We start from the raw sequence: 13,298 nt of genomic DNA, 5'->3' as shown, positions 1-13,298 counted from the left end.
ATCTCCTCAAGAGCTCTGTGAGACCATTATTATTGTTCTATCCATTTTACAGGCAAGAAGACAGAGGCTCTAAAAGATTAGACAACTTGCCCAAAGTTCTATTGATAGTAAGTGCCTGGGATCAGAACTCAGGTTTCATTTGACTGCAAATCCTAGACTTTATAGCCAGCCATGTCAGGGTGGGTTGATTAATATTTAAATGCAGAAGAAAACTGGGTTACTTATCTTAGTGGTCATCATGCCCATACAGTTCACCTTTCCAGATTTGTGCTCTCTGGTTAAGTGACACATTCTCCTTTGGATGGCAAAGTCTGAGTTTATCTTACTAAGCTGGTACTTTCTCCATAGTCTGCGGGAAAATTGAGAACATCACTGCTCCAAAGACCCAAGGGTTGCGCTGGCCGTGGCAGGCAGCCATCTACAGGAGGACCAGCGGGGTGCATGACGGCAGCCTACACAAGGGAGCGTGGTTCCTAGTCTGCAGCGGTGCCCTGGTGAATGAGCGCACTGTGGTGGTGGCTGCCCACTGTGTTACTGACCTGGGGAAGGTCACCATGATCAAGACAGCAGACCTGAAAGTTGTTTTGGGGAAATTCTACCGGGATGATGACCGGGATGAGAAGACCATCCAGAGCCTACAGGTAAGAGAGGGCTTGCACTTGGAAGCTGGGGCTCTGGCTCAAAAAAACTCCAAGCACGGGAGAGCAGTGATTATACCAAGCTCTGTCCCCTTAGCATGTCAGCAGCCAGCCCAGAGCCTCGCATATAGCAGCGTTCATTATTTCATATTGAGATACTAGATGGGGGTACCTAGAAAGGCTGTGGAGTCTTTTTTCCACCTTGATTATTTTTTAAATAAGATAGAGGCAAAGGCATCTATCACTGTGGTCATCAAAAGTTAATCACCTAAGAGTAAAATGTACTTCTCCTAGTAGCACATGTTACCTGGTAGGATATGTCATAAATTAACAAATTAAAAATTAGTGAAATTATTTGTTTAATGGCTGGCTCTGCCTGAAACCGTTAGCTCCATGAATGTTGTGATTTGTCATTGTACCCTCACAGTGTGGCACAGTGCCTGGCTCAAAGTAGATTATCAATAAATACTTTTTGAATAAAAAAAGGTTAATCACCTATTACATTTGGGCACTGTCCTAGGTAGACAGAGATGTTTTACCCTAGATATACTCTTAACAAATTTACAATATATGTCTGTCTTTCCCTGACTCCCTCCCTGTCTTTTATTCCCCCACCCATCTGTCTATCCATCTATCTTTTCATCCATCCCTCCATCTATCCATCCCCTCATCCATCCATCCATCCATCCATCCCTCCATCCCTCCATCTATCCATCCATCCAGCCATCGATCCATCCATCCGTCTATCCATCCATCCATCCATCCATCCATCCATCCATCCATCCATCTCTCCATCTATCCACCTACCTGTCCATCTATTGTTAAGCCCCCACAATGTGCCTTTCACTGTAAGTAGACACAGAAAAGAATAGAGCACGTTTTATTTTCTCTGAAAAGTCCACAGTTGAGTGGGAGAGATAGACCAATGTATCATAATCAATGTGACACAAGAGAAGCCCCAAGGCAATATACTCAAAGGAGATTGAGGTAATAGAACATATACATAAACATTTTACAAGATGTGTGCTCCTACAGGCTCCCATCAAAAGGCATGACCAGCAAGGACTGGGAAAATCAGGGAAGACTTTGTGGAAAAGTCTTGTGGAATATTCTGAGCATAGCTCTATTTACTGGCTTGAATGTAAATGAAATGTTTACAGTGGACCAGAGGTTGAAAACTTAGCCTGTGAGGGTTTGTGCCTTGATGGTGCTGAAACATATTTTTAATCATTTATTTATTTGCAAGCATTGTTTGTTTAACATCAAGATATTTCAGATAAAGATTTGGAATTCATTTTCTGGCAAAACTAGAATGCTGGTCCCATTTCAGCATGGAGTGGCTGACTGCAGTGATGTGGCCACTGCCCACCTTAGATGGGCATGCAGCCTCAACTGTCCACTTCACTTATTTAATCCCACCTTCCAGGCCCTAGAAAGCACTTTAGTTTGCAATTCTGGAAGTAGAGTAGTTGTTTTCCATGATTTCTTGAGTGAAGTATCTCCAAATAATTGTAGCTGCCTCTTAGACATTTTCTCCCAAAAATTTAGCTCCAAGCCTTGTCTGTTCTTATCCACTGTGGAGCTGGCTCCTCACCATTGCTGCCCATTCCTTGCATTTGTAGATTTCTGCTATCATTCTGCATCCCAACTATGACCCCATCCTGCTTGATGCTGACATCGCCATCCTGAAGCTCCTAGACAAGGCCCGTATCAGCACCCGAGTCCAGCCCATCTGCCTCGCTGCCAGTCGGGATCTCAGCACTTCCTTCCAGGAGTCCCACATCACTGTGGCTGGCTGGAATGTCCTGGCAGACGTGAGGAGCCCTGGCTTCAAGAACGACACACTGCGCTCTGGGGTGGTCAGTGTGGTGGACTCGCTGCTGTGTGAGGAGCAGCATGAGGACCATGGCATCCCAGTGAGTGTCACTGATAACATGTTCTGTGCCAGCTGGGAACCCACTGCCCCTTCTGATATCTGCACTGCAGAGACAGGAGGCATCGCGGCTGTGTCCTTCCCGGGACGAGCATCTCCTGAGCCACGCTGGCATCTGATGGGACTGGTCAGCTGGAGCTATGATAAAACATGCAGCCACAGGCTCTCCACTGCCTTCACCAAGGTGCTGCCTTTTAAAGACTGGATTGAAAGAAATATGAAATGAACCATGCTCATGCACTCCTTGAGAAGTGTTTCTGTATATCCGTCTGTACGTGTGTCATTGCGTGAAGCAGTGTGGGCCTGAAGTGTGATTTGGCCTGTGAACTTGGCTGTGCCAGGGCTTCTGACTTCAGGGACAAAACTCAGTGAAGGGTGAGTAGACCTCCATTGCTGGTAGGCTGATGCCGCGTCCACTACTAGGACAGCCAATTGGAAGATGCCAGGGCTTGCAAGAAGTAAGTTTCTTCAAAGAAGACCATATACAAAACCTCTCCACTCCACTGACCTGGTGGTCTTCCCCAACTTTCAGTTATACGAATGCCATCAGCTTGACCAGGGAAGATCTGGGCTTCATGAGGCCCCTTTTGAGGCTCTCAAGTTCTAGAGAGCTGCCTGTGGGACAGCCCAGGGCAGCAGAGCTGGGATGTGGTGCATGCCTTTGTGTACATGGCCACAGTACAGTCTGGTCCTTTTCCTTCCCCATCTCTTGTACACATTTTAATAAAATAAGGGTTGGCTTCTGAACTACAAAACAAATGTGCTATGCTCTTATTTCTGCACACTGTTTCTCAGAGCTACATGTATCAGGGCTGATGGCTTGGTGATAGCCCTTTAAAATAGTGCCAAGGGCTATCATTCCCAAATGGTGTGTTTGACAAACCCAATACCATCTTTTTAATACCAACTCTCAGAGCTCGGTGGGTCATGGGCCAGGGGAGGAGGGACATGGGTACCCTCCGATAAGGCACAAACAGAAACACCAGAGATTAGATGATTTTTGGGGTTGCCTCTGCTTCTTGTCTTCTAGATCCAACACAAAGTCCTGCTTTGAACCTCCATAAATCTTCATGGAATGCTTTTATAGCATCTGAATTGGAGTCACATATTTACTCACACTAAGTTTAGATATGCCAAGAAACTGTAGCTTCACTGTTGTCTATAACTTATGTGATTTTTCTCTCAAGCCTCACCCTCACCTCCCACCGGATAGTGAAGGAAAGAACATGAATTCAGTCTAGTCAGACACCTTAAGTAATCTTGGCAGTGACCCTCTTTTTGGGGTGACTTACTCTTTTATCCTTTCTCCCCTGCTCTCCTCGCCAGTTTTCTCTTCACTAGGCTGGTGCTTTGGAGGCTTACCTTTCCTCAAGCATTGGGATGAGATTGGGGACCCCCGAGTTCCTGCTGGTTCTTGGGTGTGTGTGGTGGGTCTTTTTGTTGCTGACATTTAGTGCTAGAGTCTGTAATTAGTTTAACTTGTGCTATGTTCTCTATTTCATGGAGCCCAGCACTCCTTCCTGCAGACTCGGCCCCTCATCTCTTGCTGGAACTGGTCCTCCTGGCATCTGGTGGTGACTCCTGTTTGACCCTTGTCTGGGTCACCCAGCCTCATGGCCACAGTGACAACCTTCTCTGGCAACTGCCCAGCCAGACTCTCTGCAACCTCCTTTTCCTCCTTTGGGGGATTGGGGGAACTTCTAGGTCTTTTCCATACCACATGACAGCTGAGAGCCCAGGCTTGTTACCGAGCATTCTGGGAGACATTTGCCTTATGTAGACCCAAACAGGAACTCCCCTGTTCCCTTAATCTATCTCAGAAAACTTAAGGACTTTAGCCCAAGACAGGAGGTGAGGATTTTATTTGTTTCCCAACCTGTCTCCCCCACCATGTCTGGGTCTTGAGCCAGAAGAGAATTTCTTCTACTTTCTCTTTTTGTCAGCCTTTCCTGGGGCTTTCCATAAGTCACATCCTCCTCCTTTCATTCAACCATCCATGCCCATCCTCCTGGCTTAATCAAAGAGCGATGCATTAGTTATCAATGGTTGAGTACAAATTACCCATCACTTAGTGGCTTAAATGGTAAGTGTTTATTCTCTCACAGTGTCAGTGGGTCAGGAATTGGTGAGCAGCTTAACCTGAGGTTGTCATCAACCGGAGCCTTGACGGAGGCTGGAGGATTTGATTCTATAAATATTTATCAGGTCACTCAAAGGTTTTTCTTTGTTAAGCCTAGAAAGCTTGGATCTTAAAAGGTGTAATGGAACTTGGATCAAAGAGATAGATCTGAATTCAAATTCCTGTCTTTTAACTTCTTTTTATTTATTTATTTATTTATTTATTTATTATTATACTTTAAGTTTTAGGGTACATGTGCACATTGTGCAGGTTAGTTACATACGTATACATGTGCCATGCTGGTGTGCTGCACCCACTAACTCGTCATCTAGCATTAGGTATATCTCCCAATGCTATCCCTCCCCCCTCCCCCCACCCCACAACAGTCCCCAGAGTGTGATGTTCCCCTTCCTGTGTCCATGTGATCTCATTGTTCAATTCCCACCTATGAGTGAGAATATGCGGTGTTTGGTTTTTTGTTCTTGCGATAGTTTACAGAGAATGATGGTTTAACTTCTTTTCTAAAGTGATTTTGGGCAAGTACTAAGCTTCTCTACCTCAGCTTCATTATCTGGTAAATTGGCATAATAAAATCTTGAGATTTTACTGTGGTAGCTGTGACAATTAAGTGAGATGTTGTGTAAGGCAACGAACATAATACATGGTATACCTGGCAGGGTCAGGGCTCTTCAGCTAGGCACAGCTCCACAACTGCCTCGGTAGGCACTCCACACATACGTGCCCACAGCCTCCATCTCCTGACTGTGTCCTGACCCTCTGCCTGGAATATCATGTTCTCTACTTCTTTTTAACGCTCTCTTTACTACTTGTGTTATTTTCTCTTCTTGCCTTCCTACTCAGATTTGGTTCACATGTACATCATCTTAGCTATGACTCTGGCCCCTTCAGAAGCTGAATCTGGCCTGAAATTTTGGTAATGACATCCCAGGCTGCTTGGTTAATAGCTCCGTGGCCATTTGCCACCACCCCTGGATCTTCCTACCTTAGCACTGCTCTTGTGGGCTATGAACACTCGATCACACTCACCTAAGACTTTGAGGCAGGCAAAGAGGATCACACACAAGCTTGTCCCTTGGCCATATCTGGCTGCTATCGGAATGTTGTCCATCTCTTTTTGTAACATAGCCCTTGCCTCCCAGCATAGAACTCCAAAGCTAGAAATCTTGAGCATATATAAGTCAGGGGCTTTTCAGAGAATCAGAACTTTTAACAGTCCTATGGAATAAGGGATTACGATAAACACACAAAATTGTGGCCACTGATGGAGAAGTCTGTGCAAGACTGTTGCCTTTGTTTCTGGTGTTGGACCTAAAATCAATCAGGCCAGTGGTCAGGAAGGAAAGCTGGATGTGAAGTCAGCAAAGCAAGGACAAATGGAAAACTGTGTTTGTCTCTTGCTGCCTCCAGCCTCCATGATGTGAGTGACTTGTAGTAGAATCAGGTGCCCTTTGCTCATAGCTGCACACTCACCCAGTCCGAACTCAGGGAAGCCAGAGGAGGATTTCCAGCAGGCATTGGAGGAGCTGTGGGCCTGGGTGCTTTCTCACCCCAACAAGATGAGCTGACAGATAGTGACATTACGTGTGAGCTGCCACAGTGTCTGACGTGCTCAAACAAATCTCAAAGCATGAAAGTAGGCATTGCTTCCCTCTCCTTTCCAAATCTCACGTCAATTTCTCTTGTGTTCACTCTAACCTGGAACCATACAGGGAAGGGAATTCTGCAACCTAGTTTCAGTTTCCCTAAGTTGACACAGAACAAAGCAGTCACAAATTATGGAATACTAATGCTGGAAAAGTGGCTGTCAACTGAGGACACCTTCAGGGAGTGCCAGAGAAGGCTCCTGTTTCATCCAGAGTACTTTGGTTCTGATTTCTTTCGTGATGATTGCTTGTTTTTTTAGGTATCCATGTAGCCCCTGACATCTGACATTATACCAGCTGGGCTTTGGTGCCCAGGAGTTGATCTGGCACTCCCAATGAGACTGCGATGCTCTCTTGTTGAAGATAAATACTTTCACAGAATGCCAATATCTGTCAGAATTATTCTGTGACTTTGATGGATCAAGACCCAAACAAGACCACTTCATATCTTCTGTAATAACAGACAAAAGCAAGGTGACTATGCAAACTACAAAGGTGCCAAATATCCCCTTCTCCTCGTTAATATGAGTGACTGCTGCTTCTTCATCAATTACAGCGGTAGGCTCTTTATAGTCTTTTTTCCTTTTAGATAAGATTTATTACATGGCCAATTATAGAATTACTCCCACTTCCTGACAGCATCCAATCCAGAACAAAGCCCCACTTTGAAACCTAAGATCACTTAACAGAAACTCAAATCCTGTAAGTCCTTTCTAACACACTCTTGATGAGGCACCCCTTGGTTCACCATGATGTGCATCCTACCTCATTGCAAGGAGCAAAAAAATCCCACTTGTTCAATTACAGGTATGTTTCTAGTGGTCTTTGGCTGGAAGGCATTGACTATATATATAATATATACGTATATATAATATATATGTATATTACAATTACAATGGCTTGACTTATGACTTTTTGACTTTATGATAGTATGAAATAATAAACACCGGGGACTCCAAAAGGGGCTGGGAGTGAGGGTTGAATAATTACCTATTTGGTCTCAAACTCCCGAACTCAGGCAATCTGCCTGCCTTGGCCTCCCAAAGTGCTAGGATTACAGGCGTGAGCCACCATGCCTGGCCTGAATTTGGGTTTTTATGTTGTCCTAACCTGGACATGAATGAAGACCTTGAGTCTCATTGCATTGACACAACTGCATGTTGTTCTAACAGAGAATTATCTTAAATGATATCAGATGAGTTAAAAGAAGAAAGCTGACAGCTAATGGATGAGCCAAAGGAGTAAGACACATATCTTTACTCCTGCCTTATTTTTTCTCCTTCTTTAGTATGCTATGAAAATTTTGAGTGAAATACTTTGGATCCCTAGGGCTTGGGGAAGTTTATCTTTTCAGGGCTGTTGGAAAGAACATTTTGGAGTAGCTTGGTAGCAATTTGTGGTCTCTCCTTGCTTTTCTTGGCAGCAGGACTTGCTTTCCCTGGCAGAGCTCTGCCCGGATGTGCTGTTGAGGCCCAGCATTTTAAGAAGACTGTCTCAATGGCTGAGTTTTTTAGGGCTCACTTCACGTTTGTATTCCAATTCACTGAGTGTTTATCCAGAGGCTTGGAAGAGGTTTGATGGAGAGCTTTGTCAACAAAGAAAAAAAAAGTCAGTAGATAAAATTAGAGAATAGCTTTCTCAGGTGAGGAATACATTCAAGACTGAATTCTTGGAGAAAAACGAACCACTGTTATGTTCCTGAACTTATGGTTTCTAGGAAAAAGTAATTCCACACAAGAGAGAAGGAAAGAATGATCTTTCTTAGTGCTTAAATATGTGCAATTCAGGAAAAGTTGTTTATTTTCCATTGAAAGGGGAACAGGGTGTTACAAATGAAGCTGTGTCCAGGTGCTAATAAAATGAAACCTCAGAGTGAACTGGGATAACTTCCAATTCACTGCAGTTATGCAAAGGCATAATTTAGTCGTTTAGTCTTTGATTAAAAAAAACCAACAACTCTGAATCTGTAATCTCAATTTAAAACTAAATTACCTGGTTGCTATCTCTCTCTTTCTCTTATTAAGGAAAATCACTTTATAAGAAAAATACTTTTGGGATGTGATACACAGCCTTTTTCAGAATGACCAAGGAATTTCATAAAGAAGCGAACAGAGAAAATAGAACAAGAATAACATTGCTGGATTTTCTGAGGTCATCAGATTCTGGCTTGGGTCCTTGATTCAGTCCTTTATCCAAATCACTTAGCATTTAATCACAGTGAGCTGCTGTTCAGCAAAGAAATCCCCCCAAAGATACAAAAAATCTCTCCATTCTTTTGCTCCTCATGAGGCTGTCACTACTGAATATTGTAATGTCCCAGCAGAACAAAGGGAAGGGGAAGATGGAGGCATTACTGGCAATCATTGCCAAGGTTAAGAGAAACTAGGGGTAGAAATTAAAATAGCAGTAATCACTCTCAAAGAGTATTTCCACTTCATACAGGATCAAGCAGCTAAAAAAAGAGACAGTTGCTCTAATTCAAAATGTTATGGTTTTTATGGTGGGCATAAAGAATTTGCACTACCCCTGACATTTAGCCTCAAGTCATCTTGTAGAAGAAATGCTGACGGAGGGAATGATATACTGAGAACTCACAATTCATCTTTTTCCATTGTCTCCTTTCTTCATCTATACTAAACAAACGGGATGAATTCACACTCTTTCCGTTAGAATTCATCAGGCAGTAAGCATGGCTATCCACTGTTTCAGCCTTCCCGAGCCCTCTACCTAATGAGACGATTTCTGCCTGCAGAATGGATTATATTTAGACCAAGCTCTCAGTCTGAATTGAGATTTCTGTGAAGTAATATCTTTTTTCTCATCAGCTAAGAGAGTGAGGTAAAAATAGAACTCCCTGACTTCTCTTTTGCTAATGTGTGTTAACAAGAAGAGTGAATGAACTCAGCTTGTATCTTACAGCTCCAAACACCCTTAAGATGGATGATTCCCTTGAGTCTCTATTCAGTGACCACCACCAGACTGACAGGGCTACAGGCTGGCTCATCTGTAGCTGTACTGTGTTGTTGAAACCAAAGCATTACCACTGATCTTTTGGGTGATGAGAGTGCCAGCAGCTAGGAAGCTGACATCATGAAGATGATAACAGCTCAGTGTGCCAGGAACTGTGCTAAGTGCTTTATGTGACATAGCCTCATTCAGTTCTCATATGAGCCCAGTGGATGGGTTCACTACTATACCCACTGATGCTCAGAGGGTTAAGTAACTTACTCAAGGTCACTCAAAATGGAAAGAAAGAATGATAAACTCAATTTGAATCTCACTGCTCCAAACATGGTCAAGATGGATGGTTCCCAGGTCGGTCTAATTCAGAAGACTGTTATAACTTCTGTGGCCACATTAGCATTCTTAGTTCAAAGTCCTGGTGGTGCCACTGTGAACATTCTCCTCCTGCTACTTATTGCTCTAAGCCCACTTATCTTTCTGAAATCTTTTCATTTCCAATTTAGTTTCAGGATTCTCCCGTTTCTCTCTTTCATGCTCTTGGCTTCAGAACCAACACTGTCAGAGAATAGTATCTTTCCTCTGAAATTGGAACACTATATAATAATTTTCATTCATGTTTTTCATTCATCCTAAAATAGCTCATATTTTTGAAAACTAGCAAACTCGTATTAGTTGTCATATGAAGGAGCCCTTACTGTGTCCTCTGTTTTACTTAATTAAAAAAAACATTAAGGTATCTAGTCTTATAGTTAATGATTGGGTCAAAGTGTTAAAGACAGATCCAGACACACAGCTTATAATTCCTTGGTTATTTAGGGAGGCAGAGGACATTGTATTCACACAGTGTATTCACGCTACATGCCAGGACCTGTGATATCTGCTTTATATATATAATTTTTGAAGCTACAAGAATTATTTCCATTTTGCAGAGGAGGGAGTTTAGGCTCAAAGAGATCAGGTGACCCACTCAATGTCACTTGCGGAGAAACTGGGATTTGAATACAGGCCTGCTCAACTCCAAAGCCTAGATTTACTTTACCAAGAACAGCTGTGTGGAAAGTCTGTAAGGACAAATCTGTTCCCAGAGTGGTTCTGACTTTGCAAAGAACCACAAATATGAATGCCCCACCTAACGAGCTGATGGTGGATAGTTTTCTCATTACTAAGTTTTGGAAAGCATCAATAATCTTAAAAAGCAAAGCAGATGAAACAGTAACTGCACTTGGGGGGAAAAGTCAAATTCATATTTCTGGGACGTTACTAAATGACAGCGACTTTTGAGTGGCTAACCCTTGGGTCACTTGGCTGTTATTTCTCTCTCTAGGTTACTTTCTTCTGATAAACTTTGAACATTGAAACATTTCTCCTTTATTGTCATCATGAGGGGGAATGGTTTATTCAGCAGCCTTTCATGGGAAAGCAATGTAGGACTTTTTTTTTTCTTTTCTATATTAGGAGTTCCCTCCCACCCAACCTCCCTTATGTGGAGCTGCAATGACCAATCTGAAGCATTCTGCAGGAGAGCCAAGACAGGGGATGAATCCCTTACAAGAGCCCAATATAAGGGAATCTTTTTCTCTTCTTTGGTCCAACTAAGCTCCTACAATAATTGCCAAAGAATGTTGAGAATTGTAGCATTTAGGACTGAAAAATTTGAGGCCATATTGTGACTTCTCCCATAGTATAAATATACCTTCTTCTGATTTCTAGTAAATAGTCTGACCAAGTCTATTTATCTGCTGGAAAACCCCACAGTAGAGAGGTCCCACATGTTATGGGGGCTACCTGTTCCAACAAGTATAACATCCTCACTCCAAGTTGCATAGCAGAGAGGTTAAAAAGCGAGATTCTGCAGGAAGACTGCTTAAACTCAAACCCTGGCTTCATCCATTAGCCCTGTACAGCCATTCTTCACCCTTCTCCATCCTCTGTTTCTCAGGGAGGTTGGACTGCAAGGACTGCATGTGAATTGTTTCAGTGGACTCTCCTGCCCTCCAGCTTCCATCTGGCTTTGGCCAGTATAGAGCCCTGGAAGGAAAAGAAGGACTGGAGGAAAGTGTGCATTGGGGTATTTATTCCCAGACCCCCTTCCAGCAGACTGCTATGGCCACAGTCTCAGCTTCTGTCAAGTGGCCTTCTGCATGCAGAACTCTCCTCTGGGTCCTGGTACTCTCCTTTTGGCTTAGGATGGGCAATTGTTCCCTACTGTTAGTAGCCCAGGGAGTCTGCCCTATCCCTTAGAGTTTTCCTACCCCCTCCCACACCCTTCTAAATGACTCCTTTATTAAACTTATCACAATTTACTTAATTTAAATATGCCATCTTTTTTTTTTTTTAAGCTGGGACTCCGACAAATACAACCACTGACTGTATAACCTTGGGCAAATTCCTTAATTCCTCTTGGTCTCAGTTTTCTCCTCTGTAAAATGGTGGTTTAATAATATTTTCTGCAGAAGGTCATCTTAAGAATCAAAGTACAATATATAAGGTGCAGTACATTATGCATATAGGAATTACTAAGGAAATGCTAAGCTCATATAACTACCACAAAGTTCTAGCTCACACACTACCTTAACTCAACTATAGTAACTCACTTCTGGGAACTTGGGTTAAGTTTTCAGTCAAGAATCAATAAGGCAAAAAAGAAAAAAACCCTTATAATCAAAATTCATTTTAAAAAATCCCTTACATCACCTATCAGAATATGGTACAGTTGATTTTCTTGTATCCAGTCCTGCAGAGTAGTTCTTATTGACATTGAAGTTTGAGAACCCATCAGCTAGACTTAAGAAAGGTAAATCTATATGTAAATGTCAGTCTTCTGCTTTTGCCATGACTATGGGGTCCCTAGAGGAGACTGAGAGATGCCAGCAAATTCCAAAGTGTTCATGCAGCTTGTGGGGTCGGCCTTGTTCTGTTCTTCTTCCAAGGTTCTGTCAACTTATTGCCGGCTAAGAGACTTGTAGTTTGCCGTGCAGATTAAAAGGAGACCCTGGGGTCACACGGTAGGTAGGGAGGCTAGGTTCTCAAGACAGCTCAGCTGTAAATTACACTGGGTGAATGCTGCTGTTCCCATGTGTCTAGGATGGTTCTCTATTGAGCATGAAAAAGATGTAAGCATTTCCCACATATTCTATTTAATCATCACAACAACCCTGATGATGATCATTATTATCTTCTCCAGTTTGGGGATGAGGAAGCTAAGATCCTGTGCCCAGAATAAGGTAACACAGAGTCTAATACTTGGCGGGGATAGTATTTAAGGCAGGATTGTCTGACCCAGAGCTGAGTTTTTATTCGGCATGGTCACGTGGTTGTACAGTAGCTAACCCCTAATGCTCTGTGAGTGCACAACATAAGAAGAAAACTCTATGTTTTTGTAGCTGCTCACATTGGTTACCTAGAATAACATACAAGTGTTTGTTTGCCTGGAAAGTTTTTTATTCCCTGTATTTAAAGGCAAGAGGATCAGCCCTGTATTCTAGCAATTTCTTTCTGAAGGCTAAATGTACCATGCTCCAACTACTTCTTGGGGCCCTGTTTCCAGACCCTTCTCTATGTTGTTGAACCACTTCTAGTCCAGCACTTCCCAACTCTGGCTGCGCAGTGGACTCAATCACCTGGGGAAGTCCTTTAAAAATGCCCAAGTCAGCCCCCGCCTAACCCCAAAGATGCATGGACCAGAAATCTCTGAAAGGTGGCCTGAGTATTACTATTTTCTAAAAGGCTCTCTCAGACCATTTTAATGGGCACCCAGTGTTGAAAATAACTGCTCCAGTTTGTTAAAAAATAATTGGTGTGAATATTGGCAAAAGCCCTCTGGCACAAAGAAAGAGAACCAGTTTCTTCTAGCTAATGTTTGTTAGCCAGAATTATCTGTGGCATAGTCCATGTGACTTAATAGACCTGGTCTTCCAGGGCAGCTGAATGCAAATGTTTCTCACGTGTAGAACGGGATGTCAGGGCTTACAGAGAAAGTG

At 43.0% G+C, this 13,298-nt stretch overlaps 1 protein-coding gene across 4 annotated transcripts in view; it reads left to right on the top strand.

The window, feature by feature from the left end:
• Window positions 1-3,326, top strand: part of PAMR1 (peptidase domain containing associated with muscle regeneration 1) — a 98,474-nt gene extending 95,148 nt beyond the window's left edge. For all 4 annotated transcript variants that reach the window (NM_001282675.2, NM_001282676.2, NM_001001991.3 and 1 more), the window contains 2 exons: window positions 349-641; window positions 2,261-3,326. In NM_001282675.2, the coding sequence (NP_001269604.1) occupies window positions 349-641; window positions 2,261-2,797 (830 nt within the window). In that variant the 3' untranslated portion in view covers window positions 2,798-3,326. The remainder of the gene's footprint in view (window positions 1-348; window positions 642-2,260) is intronic.

Source organism: Homo sapiens, chromosome 11 (genome assembly GCF_000001405.40).
Source record: "Homo sapiens chromosome 11, GRCh38.p14 Primary Assembly".
In the NCBI taxonomy this organism is placed as follows: Eukaryota; Metazoa; Chordata; class Mammalia; order Primates; family Hominidae; genus Homo; species Homo sapiens.
Note: the sequence above shows the minus strand (reverse complement) of the source record. Positions and strands in the feature narration are given on the sequence as shown.